Source organism: Homo sapiens, chromosome 1 (genome assembly GCF_000001405.40).
Source record: "Homo sapiens chromosome 1, GRCh38.p14 Primary Assembly".
NCBI lineage: Eukaryota > Metazoa > Chordata > Mammalia > Primates > Hominidae > Homo > Homo sapiens.
In genome coordinates, this window is record NC_000001.11 from 154694504 (window position 1) to 154709385 (window position 14882).

General features: G+C 42.6%; 1 protein-coding gene across 5 annotated transcripts in view; it reads right to left on the reverse strand.

The window, feature by feature from the left end:
- KCNN3 (potassium calcium-activated channel subfamily N member 3) overlaps positions 2952-14882 on the reverse strand; it is a 172827-nt gene continuing 160896 nt past the window's right edge. For 3 of the 5 annotated variants that reach the window (NM_002249.6, NM_001204087.2, NM_170782.3), the window contains one exon: positions 2952-13769. In NM_002249.6, the coding sequence (NP_002240.3) occupies positions 13473-13769 (297 nt within the window). In that variant the 3' untranslated portion in view covers positions 2952-13472. The remainder of the gene's footprint in view (positions 13770-14882) is intronic. The other 2 variants (NM_001365838.1, NM_001365837.1) reach the window with 1 other exon arrangement.

Sequence of the window (14882 nt, forward strand, 5' to 3'; positions counted from 1 at the left end):
ATCAAACAAAAGGGTTGCAGCAGCTCCTGATCAAGCAGCACCTCACCCTCCTGGGGTAGAGGGTCTTTTCTGGTTGCTCTGGCTCAAGCCCTGGGCTCTGGGGTTCACTTGCTCCCATTGGCCTGATTTGGGCCCTGTGCCCATCCGTTGGCTAGGGTGATGAGGTACTCTGATTGTCTTAAGCCTGCCATGGCCCACCAGAGGTCTGGAAGTTGTATTAACCCCACCCAAGTGCATAGTTGGGATGGGAGAAGGGCAAATTCACTAAAGAAAACTCTGCATGCTGTTGGCAGAGAATTGGGGAATGGGTGCTCTAGAGATAGTGAATAAATGTCCTCTACAGTTTTCTCACATCTTATTTCCAAGTACAGAACTGAGAATGTCAGTTCCTCTTATTGATGATCTGACCATACTCGTCGAGCATTTTCTCAATTAAACTGCCACCAAACAGGGTCCTATGTTCCCAAATTTGTGAATCAAGTAAACATTGCATTGTTATTATTGAAAAAAGTCTGTAGGAAATCCTAAGGGTAAATTTGTTAAGATTCCCAAATTCTGAAGTTTAGGATGAGTTATGTATCTACCTTCTCATTCCAAGAGGTGGGAGGTGAGGAGGGTGTTCTAAGAAAGGGCAATTGAATCACAGCTTACAGGCACTTACAGAAGACCTGACATTTCCCTTGATGAGTGACTGGGATGTGGGTGCCCCATTACTGTATGCATTCTTTCTTGAGAAGTACTTGATTGCTTTTAAGTGATACCCCAGTGTTTGAAAGTAGGAAGCAGAAGAGGTTTGGAAAAGCGTTTTACCTAGGTGAAGAGGAAATCGCCCTCAGGTATTGCATGCGTGTTTTCCACCTTTGGTTTTCCGGGGGGGAGGAATGCATTTTAAGAGAGGCTATTAAGTGTGACTTGTTCTCAGAAAAAATAAAGTGTAAATTTCAAATTCATGCTACAAGCAGATTAAGTTAATTTTGGCTAATCTTCATGTATTATTTGCAGTGGTGACGGCAATGAAGATTAATAACCTTGACCATCATTAGCATAATCCACTGTAATGCTGGATATAAAATCACATCATTTTAATAATCGAATTTAATGTTTCCTGACCAGTGGGGGTTCTTGTAGCTTTGCAAGTATTAGCTGTAAATTCTTTAAACTAAAGGCAGATAACTTTGAAAATGATCAATGCCTCTGGAATATAAAATGCACTATGAATTATTTTAACCAGTCGCAATATGCATATCTTTGTTTTCTTTGAGATATTGCTAATGCGGTGTATGCATTAGCGGTGTATGCGTGTGTTGAGAAGCAGGGGCTTTTCTTCTTAGCAAACATTTGCAAAATGGATAACCAACTACTTTATGAGGATGAATCAAGAAAGAGCATGGAGAGGCTATGGGCAGGCCTCAATTTACCACATCAGCCCAGAAGGCATTCTCAATGTGGCATGAAAAGGTTCCAGTTTACTTTCTGCCCATAATTCTCCATTTGATTCCAGGCAAATCACTTCTCTTGAATCTCTGTCTCCTATGTGTAAGGCAAGGGCCATGACCTAGATGAATGTCTCTAACAGGCATGGCCTGCCTTCTCATCTGCATCCGCATACAGTGCCAGCACCTTGTTTTTGACAGCCATACAGATGAGCCTTTTCCTGGATGCCAAGTGACATTTCTTTTTCCCTCAGATTGCCCTATTCCCGTTGGTCTGCAGGGGGTGTTCTTACTCAGAGTCTCCTGAATTCTGAATTAGCAGAATTGTCCATTTTGGAAAACTGGGCCCACCTTTGAGTTCTAATGTCTTGTTTTTCCAGCTTCCACAGTTATGCATGATGTAATAATGGATCAAATTTTCTTTATAATAGGAGACAACATTTTATCTAGTGGTTAGATATAGTTTGGAAAAGATCAATGCGTATAACATAGCAGGTTACCCAATTTTTGTGCGTTAGGTTTAGTGAGTTACCTGCTAGCAAGGACAATGTGTTATGTTTAATTTTAACTTTTTTCGTCTAGTGAAAAATGTCAGAATAGCCCTCCCTCAATCTTCACCCAGAGCTAAGGCCAAAGAAAGACATTACACCCAGACAGACTGTGTGCCAGGAGAAAGCAGCAGCCAGCCAGAGAAATACCATGTGAGGGAAGAGTAACCTGGCAGCATTGTTTGCCAATACACGTAGAGCCAGCATGCAGATCAGCACAGTCTCATGGGGCCAGGACTGAAGAGACATGAGGGCAAGATGAAAAGGAATCAAGCTTCGAGTAAATCACCATCTTTATAAAAACCTTGCCCCCTCCTACTCTCTTCTCTTCCCGTCTCCTCACCAACTAGGGGGAGGGGAGAGATCCTGAGGAGGGCTGTGCCAGACTAGGCACCGGTGGCCTCACTTCAGCAAGCTCTGGATCAGTGGTGCTCAACTTGGGGCACCCCTTAGAACGACCTGTGGTGCCTCAGGGACATGCCCAGGTGTCACCCATACTCTGCTTCTGAGTCTCCATGGGTTGAGAAGCCTGGCTTGGGGTTTTCAAAAGCTTCAGAGATGAGTCTACTGAGACCCTCTGCTCAGCTAAATGGAAGGAGTGCTGTGTGGAACTGCCCGATACTTTACTTGAACATAGTTGCAAGTTTGCCGTATCACACATCAGTGTGTCTAGATATTCTCGTTGATGAACAGCCATTCACCTTAGGAGCGGCTCTCACTCTCTCTGGGTGGTTAAAACTGGGTTTGGTATTAAGGCCTTCCATGTGTCTCCATGTTGGGGGGGCCAATCTCCTGAGTCAACACTACCATGAAAACCACGGCAGTTCTGGCCTTGCTTAAAGAAGCAACCTTTTCCAGGGGACGCTGTTTCCGATCTAAATTAAGATTTCCTCTTTTAAAAAATCTTGCTTTCACAACTATACATGTAGGGAAAGAAGAAGATAAAATTAAAGGAAATCAGTCACTTGCATTTTTGGTTTTTTGGTTTTAGTCAGTTCTCTTCTTGTTTTTATTTAATGCCATAATATTATATTAGCATATGCCGTAACATTTAAAAATGCCCATTCTCTCCAGCTTCAGTTCAAGCAGGAGTGGGGAAGGCCATAGACTAAGCCCACCTTCAAGGTCACACTTCCATATTTTGCACAGAGAAGAAAATGCAGTCTCCCATCCAGATCCTCAGACCCACACACCAGCCCACCACTCTCATTCCAGATGCCCTAAGCCTGGGTCTGGACACATGTGGTCAATACACATCCTGGATCTTACAAATCCAATGGTGGCCAGCAGTAGAACTGAAGCCTGTAAGTTTTCATTCACTCCTAAAGTGTGCTGAGAAATCCTAGCCTGTTTTTTCCATTTAATTCCTGTAGATGAGTCATTTGCTCCTCAGTTTTCTATGGCCCAATTTTCCCATTGGAATAATGGGAATAATATGTCATCCACCTTACAGGGTGATGACTAATATATTGGCATTTGAGATCCTTAGATGAAAGGTATTACTGTGTATAAGTATAAAGTACTATTATTTAGTAATCACTGAGTTGGTAAATGTATTCATTCATATGGAGTTTTTGGAGGAAGAGCTTTAAGGAATGACAGCAGTAGAAATGCAGCTAGATATATTTTTGAAAACATTTTTTAGGTCTACCAACTTAGAAAAAGTCCCAGATATTACATACTCCTTCTAAAGCACCTAATTTGCATTTTTATTATTATTATTATTTACCTAGAACTACAGAAAAATTTATGGGAAGGAAAGTAAGGGTACAGGGTTTTCAACTTGGGGAAATTCATTTCCCATCCCCTGGCTGCCAAGCCTTCCTACTCACAATTCCACAAATGTGCCTGCAGCTGTGAGGACAGCTGGAGAGATCTGTTGTCTTTCTGGTCACCTCTGACATTTTGCAGTGTCTCTTCTGATTGACACTGTATACAGGGCATGACCTCTCTGACTTGGCCCTGCCTATTATGAAAGTGTCACCATGGGGGCAGGGAGCTAGAGAGATTTAGTTGGTTTAAAGAAGTATAATGTGTCCTTGAGCTTTGAGCACAGCAATGGAAACCTGGCGACTCTTCCTGGAGCTCTAGGGACTTCTAACCAGAGCAAGTTGGTTCATTACAAGCTGTCACACCACAGAAAGAGAAGACCTTTGGCTAAGGTAGAGAAAGGCTGACTCATACAGGCAGTTGTATAACTGTAGACAGGCAGGGCCCATGGAGCTGTGGAGAGTTCACTGGGACTCCTCTGCCTTCTAAGACACAGGTTCCCACCTGCTTCAGGGAGAGAGACTTCCCACTAGTCCACCTTCTGTGTGTGTTACCAAAAGGAAGCCATATTTGGAGCTGGTCTAAGCTCCAGCCCCTGCAATTTCATTTGCCTTTCCTTAGTAAGGAACACAGTAACAACGCGAACAAAACCACACAGAGCATGTGAAGACCGGGCCCTTCTGATGCTGATGTGTGGAGAAAACTGGGCACTAGACTGAACAAATTTTTAGCTATTGCCTTATGGGAACCACAGAAATGGATTGAAATAAAACTTACAAAATCACTTTAACCACTCTTATTTATGCATTACCACCAAGGGAAAACAAAGTCACTGAAACAGAAAAATGTTTTCCAAAGGAAAAATGTTTCCTCTTTGGTGACCTGAGAAAGTTTACCGTAACTCCATTCAAAACCTTCAGGCACTTGACTTTTTTTTTTTTTTTTAATATCCTTTACCTTTTTAATAAAAAGTAAAAAACAAACAAAAAATACATCAATGTTCCGAATAGAACCTCTCTATGTAAAGGTCTCACTAAACAAATAAACATAGGACCAGACAAAAGAAATGGAGCTGTGAATAGCAATATGATATATTATGAAGCATTTATATATGTATGTATATATTATATATGAATGTGCGGGTATATGTGTGTGCACCTATGTATGTATAAATCTGTAAATATTTGCCTACATACACGTCACACACACACATACATATTTATACTGACCTCTTTAGATTGAAGTCCAAGGCACTTTTTACAATGAACAGGTTAAAGCCATTAATTTAGAACATAACTGTTTCTGGGTACATATCGAGTTATGGCGCCAATATCAGAATTCACGTCTTTCCTTGCCCACCTTGGAGTGTTTCTTGTTGGTGCAATGAGTAAGAGAATTGGCTTTCAAGGAGATTAGCAATGTTTCTAGATGGTTAAACTAACTTCTCTTGCTATTTTCCTCTAGGGGAGGGGAGTTCTTACTGGTGAGATGCTGAGTTCCTCAAGGGAAGAACACAAGGATCGAGAAACACAACAATTTCTGTACTATGCTAAGCAGAGACTCCTGTAGCCTTCCAGAGGACCTGCCCTGAGGTTCCACCTGATATTCTGATGGCTTTGCTAGTCTGGTCTAAAAAAAAAAAGACTAAAACTTAAAAATGGGGGCTTTGAGGTGGCTCAAGGATATGGAGTGCTATTTAGGTAAGACCGGAAAAAGACTATCTCTTATTGACTTTATTATGTTTGATGTAGACCATCCAAGTTATATAACCTCAAGTGGAATTTAAAGATGCATTTTTTTAATCCTTATGATCATTCAGGACCTTCACATCTTCAAATAATTCTGTAAATGAGACTCAAGGAAGAGATAGCTTCATTCTCTAATTATTAACGAGGTTAGTTATCACTACGGTGAGGTGAGGCCAGTGCTTATCAATATTTCTGGTGCATACAGGTCACCTGGGGATTTGTTAAAAGGCCAATTCTGATGAAGAAGGTTTGATGTGGGGCCTGAGATTCTGCATTTCTAACAAGCTTACAGATGATGCTAACGCTGCTGGTCTGTGGACCACACTTTGAGTAGCAAGGGTTAGCATATAGCCATGGACTTGAATTACTGTCAAGAGGTCTGCTTTCCCCAAATGATGAATTTGCATTTGTTTCCTTGATTCTAGATGGAATACAACTTTGAGGGGAAAGGTCAGAATATATTTGCTCTTTATAAATGTAAGTCTTGGTCTGAGCAGTGTTAGAAGGAAAAACCAAAAGAAAAAAGCACTTACTGGGCCAGGCACAGTGGCTCACTTTGGGAGGCCCAGGCAGGTGGATCACGAGGTCAGGAGATCGAGACCATCCTGGTTAACATGATGAAACCCTGTCTCTACTAAAAATACAAAAAAATTAGCTGGTCGTGGTGGCACGCACCTGTAATCCCAGCTACTCGGGAGGCTGAGGCAGGAGAATTGCATGAACCCAGGAGGCAGAGCTTGCAGTGAGCTGAGATGGCGCCACTGCACTCCAGCCTGGGCGACAGAGTGAGACTCCATCTCAAAATAATAATAATAATAATTTTAAAAAAGAAAAAATCATTTAGTAGCAAAAAAAAGTGAAGAAATAAATCAATTACCACCAATACATTCATCAGTCAATTGTAAAATTGAAAATAAGCCAATTTCCATTATCCGGTGAGTAAGTAACCTGATAAAAACAAGTGCCCTGGAGTTCAGATGGCTTTAGTGGAGCTCGGCCTAACATATAACTGAGGAGTAATACAGGCACTGAGAGAATTTAGCTCCATAACAAGAAAACTTGTGTACAAGTTAGGGCTCAGCTACACAAACAGACTGAAAACGGGCATTTAGACATTTCTCTTTCAAACAGCATGAATACCTAATGTCAGTGAGCCCCATGACTTATATACCTTTAAGCTCATATAAATTGAAATTTGAAGGATTCCAGCCTTTTCCCAGGAGAAAACTTGTTGTTTTGCACTATCTGTAAATCTATGTGAATTTTCAGGGCTTGGGAAGGGAAGAGACACATAGGCTCAGTTAATCTGCCCCGATGCAACCTGGTTTGCACCTGTACAATATTGCACCAAAGCAACAACAGCAAGTGAGGGTCCCAGGTGAGAAGAGGCTCACTGATTCTAGAAAATCTTTATTCTGTAACCGAACACATCCTGTTTTCATCTAGAAGTAGTGCCTTAGCCATATGAAGGAGGGAACTGAGAACTTCTACATGTATGTCTCAGCTGCTCTGTAGAGAAAGAGGGGTGTAGATTCCATGAGTTGCTTAATTTTGCTATAAAGGACAATATCTCAACGGGAACCCTTTATTTCCTCCCAGCTAGAGGAAGCTAGCAGAAAAGGCAGCCCGGCTCTTTGCTGGCTCTGGCTGTTCATGTCCTGCCGGCTCCTCCCATCACTCCCTTAGGAGCTGGGCTCCATGTCCTTGATAAACATGTGGGAACCTTGCTCCCTCAAGGGTATTGCCAATTTAGAAAAGCACATCTGCACACTGGACTCTTGTTGGGCCTTGTGTAGTTTGGAAAGCCGACCCCGGTTTCACGTACATGGAGAAACTCAGAATGCCTAGGATTTTGAGTATTTTAAGTTACAGGAAAACAGGACTCTTTCTTATGTCCAATTCTGACATTGTCAAAGGAAAACTGGTTGGCTAGGTTTGAGACTTATATAATTTATGTAATGAGGCCTTTGAATTTATATAGAAAGAGCCTGAACTTTTATTAAACTGGCTTTGCAGAGCTACTAAAGGAGTGATGGCTTTTAAAATCTCTTCTGAAATGGCTTGATAGAATTTAGGGTAGAATTATTCCTCTACTCTTGGAATAATGTTCTTTTGTCTCTAATACCCAGGCCTTGGAGAATTAGAATATGGCAGTTCAGTAGGCTGTGGTAGGAGGACCCTTTTTCTGGGTGCCCGGCAATCACTAACAGTGATGTGTACTCAGAAACAGTCATTGGGAGAGCAGGCTGACAGTGGACCTGCTAAACACTAGTTTGATACAAAATGTTAATTGAAAGTTACAATATATTTTATAATATATCAATATATTTCATATTTAAAATAAACTGTTATGCTTTCTCCTATCATTAAAAAATAGCAAGCAGTACAGAGGCAAGATGCAAATTCATATTAAAGCTCATCTGATTCTGAATATAAACACTTCAGTTTCTGAGCTTGCCATGAAAATGTTTCCTCCATTAACATCCTGTCATTCTCTTGTTGTTCTCGTGGCCAGTGCAGAATGGAGAGTCTGGGACCAAAATTGAGTTGTTGCGCCATTAAAAAACGTATCTGATGAAGGTGGATCAGTCCTGGTTGAGATTCAAAAACTGAGACAACATGACACAGCTAGAGAATGTTGTTTATTCCTTGTCCTTCTTGAGTGAAGCTGGACGTTGGCTGCTTCGATCTGATTCAGATATATATATATATATATATATATATATATATATATATATATATATATGTACTTTTTCTTTTTGGCTATAAATGTCAACATCTCTTTGGGATCCTAACTGCAGGTTGGAGTTGAATTTTGTGCTTTTCCTCCACCAGCTTGGTTGGTCACGATGTGTCTCTTTTGCTTGTTTCAACACATAGCCCAGGCCCAAGATTACAGCTTCCAGGATACATTTTTCAGGTGTGTAAACAACTGTCACAGGGCACTTGGCACCTAGATTTGGAGGTCATATGTTGAAGATTTGACAATGGTTTTGTTCAGAGGGAACTCCAGTTCACGTTTGGGTGTTTCCAGTAATGGCGTAAGACAAAAAGATCACAGTTATATTTTTTTCTATCTGTATATATGTATATACCATTGCACTGAGTACTTTTTAATAAGCTGTGGTCTGTTTCAATAAAAATCTACATATTACTCGTCTAACAGGAGTTTAACATTAATTTCTATTCATGCAGCCTGGCACAAGCTTTCTACTACCACAAGCAGACAGTTACTATTGCGATCCCTGTAAACTCCTTTCTCAGTGGTGTTAATGATCCCATTTCCCTAATGTTTATTTTGGCGGCAGTAGAGAAGGAAAGGATACTGTCTGGGGCGTCATCAAGCCCACCGACTGCAAGGGGAGAGAAGGGGTTGTTCGTGCCTACTGGGAAGTCACCAGATAGCTGTCTAAGGTACTGAAATCAAACCCTGCAGAGTCAATAGGGATCCTTCATCTGCTTCTAGCAACTCTTAGGGGAAGAAGAATGAATGTAGAAAACTGGGGACATATTTTAGGATTTAAAAACAGTAACTTCAAAAGAGTAGTAACCTACTGGTAGTGCAATGACTTCACAGTATCTCAGTTGTGGTACTGTGATGGGAGCAACACCGTTTGTCCTGGGATGAAACATTGATTCTTAATTTGGAGTGTACTGTTTGTTGAGTTGCACTCTGGAGGAGGAGGAAGGTTCTGGAACTACGTGCTAATCCCATATTTCTCCCTGCTGATTTTACCACTATTTAATGTGCACTAATTACTTTTTGGTAACTACTGACTGCATTCAAACGTAACATCAAGGTGTGATCTAGATACAGTCAGTCTGGGCTGCTGTTGATGACAAAGGTGATTTCATTTGTTCTCTATTGAAAACATTGTACTTAAGAATATTAATTATTCTCTTCATTTTAAGTACAGAGAAATTGATGTATTAGGTGCTTATATGAATTGGCCAAAGATGTGGATCCAGTCTTAAGATTTTTATTTATTCTGATTTTGTATGACTAGGTTTCTTCTTTTCCATGATTGTTTATTCACAAGGAAATTATAAAAATTTAAGGGGGAAATCCCCCACTATATTAAAATCATTACTTCTTCAATGCTCTTCCTTCTTGGCTTTTAATAATAAAAATAGCTTGTACATGCTCAGCGCTTGGAATTTACTTTTGCGTACATTTTCTATGTCTCCTAATTCACAAGATTGTTGTTCTACCACTGGCCCCTGCTGAGGTCGGTCAGTGGTGACTTGGGGCCTTCCCCCCTTGTTCTTTTGGATTGTATTAAGCACTTCTAGAGACATGATGTCATGAAGTTACGTATTAGGAAGATGGCAAGAGCAGTTCATAGACACTTTATGACAATTTATTGATGATGATCATATATATGTGGCCTTTGATCCAAAGGTGAAGACTTTTATTTGGACTTCAATCTAAGGAGGAGTGAGCCCCTAGTCTGGTGTAATTTACCAACTAATGCTATGTCCTGAAATTCCACTGAGATTAGTGGTCTTAAAGTATCACAGTACATCCCTGACTTTACAGTACATGAAGCTTTAATATGGCTTAAGCAATGGCAGGGGTGGGGGTGGTTCTGTATTTCTAATTCAAGTGTCTAGATATTTTAGGAATATTAGAGTGATTTTACCTGTCACTGAGTTGTCAGAAAGATTATAGTAGGGGATCTGCCATTGGGTCAGTCCTCTAGGAGTGGGCAGATCTTGATCAGTACAGTATTGGAGTGAGGTTACATAATTAATAGTTTTTACATATAGCCGATTTTTTTTTTTTTTTTGAGACGGAGTCTTGCTCGGTCACCCAAGCTGGAGTGCAATGGCACGATCTTGGCTCACTGCAACCTCCACTTCCGGGGTTCAAGTGATTCTCCTGCCGCAGCCTCCCAAGTAGCTGGGACTACAGGTGTCCACCACCAAACCCAGCTAATTTTTGTATTTTTAGTAGAGATGGGGTTTTGCCATGTTGGCCAGGCTGGTCTTGAACTCCTGACCTCAGGTGATCCTCTCGCCTTGCCCAAAGTCCTGGGATTACAGGCATGAGCCACCGCACCTGGCTATATATACCAGATTCTTGAGCAGATAATTAAACCTCCTCCACCACAAAACTTGAAAATAAGGTACAAGAAGGCATGACATGAGAATCCACCTGCCCCTTTTCCCATCTGACTGTGATGCTGAGGTGTGGTGGAATTAGCCAAAAGATGTAGGAAGAAAACTTGGGTGAGCTACACCCAGAATAATTAATACTTAAGTCATCAAGGGTTGATTGTACTTGCAGGAGAACGGGTAACTTTCCCACATAAAGCTGAAATGCTAGTACAGAGAAATAGCCTTCCATTTGCTATTACAGGATCAATGTGCAGGTTTGATCACTTTTTTTTTGAAGCATTTTCTTTTGCCAAGAATAAAAATCATGTATAGCTATTGCACTACCAATAGGTCAATTCATGCTACAAATGTCCATGTGTTTCTAGGATGCCAGTGGCTACTGCTACCAGAAATAACTCCAGTCACTCCCTTGACTAGTGTTGCTAGTTTGGTCTTTAGGGTTTACCTAAGTGAGAGCATCAATGATGGGTTAAAGTCACAGACCACAATGAATAAATCACAGTCTGTGCACACTTTTGGCCAGGAAGAGTGGCAGTGGAATCTTGCATGTCATTTGGTTGAAATTAAGACTAAATCTCTATATGTGCACACACCCACACTCACACCCACACGCACACATATCACAGGGTTATAGCAGAATGAAAACGGTGGGTAGGAATCACCAGTTGAAGGCTGTAGGTTTAAATGATCAGGATTGGCACACTCAGATCAGCCCACCAGTGGTCTTCACTTTGTGAAATGGAACTAATGCCACAAGGAAACTGCATGGTTACTTCATCTGTTTACACATCTGCTTATATGTTCAGCTGAACTGTCACTGAAAACAGGAGCACCATTCTTGGGACATGAAACAAGGAGGAGGGGAAACATTCAGATAATCAACAGTTAATAGAACAAGTAAAAAAATAAGCCAACAGCAGGTGCGGCATCTCTGGTATGCAAAACAACTAATGAAAGTGTTCAAAGGAATTATCAAGGCAGGCCATTAAGACTATAAACCATCAAAAGAGCAGCAGCAATAGCAAGAGAGAAAGAAGAGGGTTAGCAAGAGACTAGATCTTCCTGAAAAAGTGGCCTTGGCTCTACAATTGTCTACCTTGTGCTGTCCTTAGAAGAACAGGCCCAGTGCTACAGAATAAAAATCTCCATGCCAAGCCACTGCCTTCAGAATGGTGATGATGTCTTCTTACAAAGGTAAACCCAAGATGACAACCACAAGCAAAAAAATCACCCTTTTGTTTTACCATCAACAGATGAAATAGTCCATACAGTGCCATTCAATTTCCCACAGGCAGAAACCAAAGACCTCAGAATGAGAAAGTCATGGTTTTCACGTCACAAATGTTACGTGTGGTCAGATTATGGAGCAATGAAAACATTTTTCTGCGCCGCTCATTACACTAAATCTTGATGTTTCTGAAGTCTCTTGGAGTTTGAGATGTATTGGAATAGTTTTTCGCACCAAGATTAACATGGCACAGTAGGAACAGGCTACTGACAAATCCATGTCCACTTACCTTACCCACAAGGTTCCCTAAGGGTTCCCTTCATTCTCACAATATTTCATTTTGAGATGACTTAAGGTCAGGTAGAAGGGACCACATAGGCCACTCTTCATCACTTCTCCTCCTAGCTCAGAGGCTCACAATTGAGGCACTTGGCCCTTTTGCACTACTAACATCTGGGGCTGGAAACCTGTTGCTGGATAAATACAGCTCAGCAAATCCCCAACCATATTTCTATTCACTAAGGTGTTATTGGATTGCTCCTGTTTGTGCATGTCTGCACACACATGCACAATTTCTTGTCCTCTCCCTCCACACTTACAGACATACACCTGGTCATGTGGACCATCGAAACACAACTTGTTTGGATGGAAGAAGAAAACTCTGCAGATGCTGTTATTTTTAGAAGCCTGCTTATCCCTCCTGAATGCCAACAATTTTGGCTTGGCATCCATTTCAAATCAAGCAAGGTGCATATCCAGGACAAAGCAATGTGCATTATGTCTGAAGGGATCCACATCTTCAGTGAAACTCAGAATGTGGCCAGAACTAGCTAACTACCTGAACTGAAAGCACCCCATGTTCAGATTCAGACCAACTCAAAACACATGTAAGGGGTGCCTATTGTATGCAGGGTAAGGTGTCAAGTCCCTTTTTATTTGGATTAAGCTCAAATAAGAAAGGACCTGAAGCGAACGTGGGATGTGTATGTGTGTACATGTACACGTTTGCAAACACACAGGTTTATGTGGGTATTAATATCGAGTGGAAAATCTGGCTTTTTATTTGTCTGTGTCTTTTTTTTTTTTTTTCAGTCTGATTCGAGTATATCTGTTTTGGCAAGTTGTGGGCAGCTCTCTTTTACTTTTGTCACCCAGAGGCTTCCGTAGACAAAAGGAAAGGAGAGAGGTGTGTTCAAAGACCCCCATGGCGAAGAGCCCATCCCCCAAGCCTGACACAACCCTCCCTCCCAGCGGACCCCTCTTCTGGACTGGCTTCGCTGTTGGCTACTTCAGTGCATCTGACCCCCACCCCCCGCGTGAAGACCTGAGATTGAGCGTGGATTTCTGTTCTCCACCAACTCTGCAGCAAGGGCCCTGCCAGAGGCGTCGCTTCCTGTCATCTCCTCTTCCCGCTCCCAAGTAGAGGCACCTAAACAGAGATTAGATTTCTGGTTTCAAGGCATGTCGGACCAAGCACGCTGAATGAACATGAGTTAGTTAATTAGCTCGGTCTCTCTTCTTTCCGTTCCCTGGTCTGAATGTTTCTTGATGGCAAAGCGACCAGGAGAGAGTTGATTTGCATCTTAAGACCTATGGGTAATGCTTCTGGAGTGGGGAGATTTATTTAGCAACTGCTTGAACTTGTGTACGGGGTCGGGAAGGAGGTGGAGCTGACCCCAATGGGGCTATCGGAGATTGGGGTGTGGGTGGTGCCCACTGCCACGCTGACACCCCGGGCCTCGATGATGGCAGACAGGAGCTGCTGCTGCTGCTGGCGCAGGGTGTCGGCGATGAGCAGCGGCAGGGAGTTGAAGCTGGCGGTGAGATGCTCCAGCTTCGACTCCAGGCTGCCAATCTGCTTCTCCAGGTCTTCGCTCCGGTCATTGAGTTCTGTGATTAAGTCATACATGACATTCTGCATCTGTGTGGAGAGAGAGAGGCGAGAGACAGGGAGATGACAGGTCATCACAGAGGAATCTGCAATGGGAGAAATGAAACGCCCTCCACAGTATGACAGGAGCCACTTCCACACCAGCTGATCTGGTCAAGGAAGGATACAGGCTTCTTTCCTGGGGATGGGGATGCTGAAGTGTGCACATTTTTGTTTTCTTATTACAAAAGTAATGAGTATTAATGACAGCATTTTATTAGAAAATATGCACCAAGGGGAAAAAAATGGCCCTTTTTTTTTTCTTAAATAAAGTGAGTCTCTAAACTGTCTCATGTTCTCACAGGGCCACAACCTCTCAGCTCACATGGCTGCTGGCATCTAATGATTCCAGAGAAGACGCTGGTGGGGAATGGACAGTGCAGTGGGTGTATAATTAGTAGGCCAGGGCTCAAGTACACATCTGCAGCTCACTAACAGTGTGCCCTCTGCCAGGCGCCTGGCCTCTCTCAATCTCGGTTGCCTTATAAAATTGGAGTTAATAATAACTGTACACAGTTAGGAGTTATTGCACATCTCCCAACCTCTATTTTAACCCAGCAGACAGGATGTAAAGTGAATTAACTCTCAGGCACAGTGCTTAGCCAAAGGAGGCTGCCTTGCTGAGGTGTGGCCCTTCGCCTGCCTGATCCACAATGCCTCAGGGTGGGACATCCCTGAAGGGCCACTCTGAAGGGCTGAGGTCTTTGTTGACTGTATCACAGTTCAAACCCTCCCACTGACCAATCCTGCTTCCCTCACTCCTTGGCAGGGGTCCTGAGGGTGCTCCCCTGAGAGCTCCCCAGTACCCCTCCTGCACTCAGCACTGACTCCCCGTGTTCCAGGGGTGCCGGCCGATTACCAGTGCTCCTTCCCCAACATCCTGTGGCCCCCTTGTTGGTCTGCAGAGTCCCAGTCTATGCAACAGATATTTTTCTCCCAGCAAATTAGCAAATGCCATCTTGGCTGTGTACATCAGACTTGGGAACAAGATTCACAAGCATCTTCAGCCTCCCACGTGTCAGGGAGTGAGGCTCCTGGGGCGGCAATGCAGAGGGCCAGGCCGGTGGTTGCTTGGTCATCCCTGAGGTACTGTGGCTCTTTGGG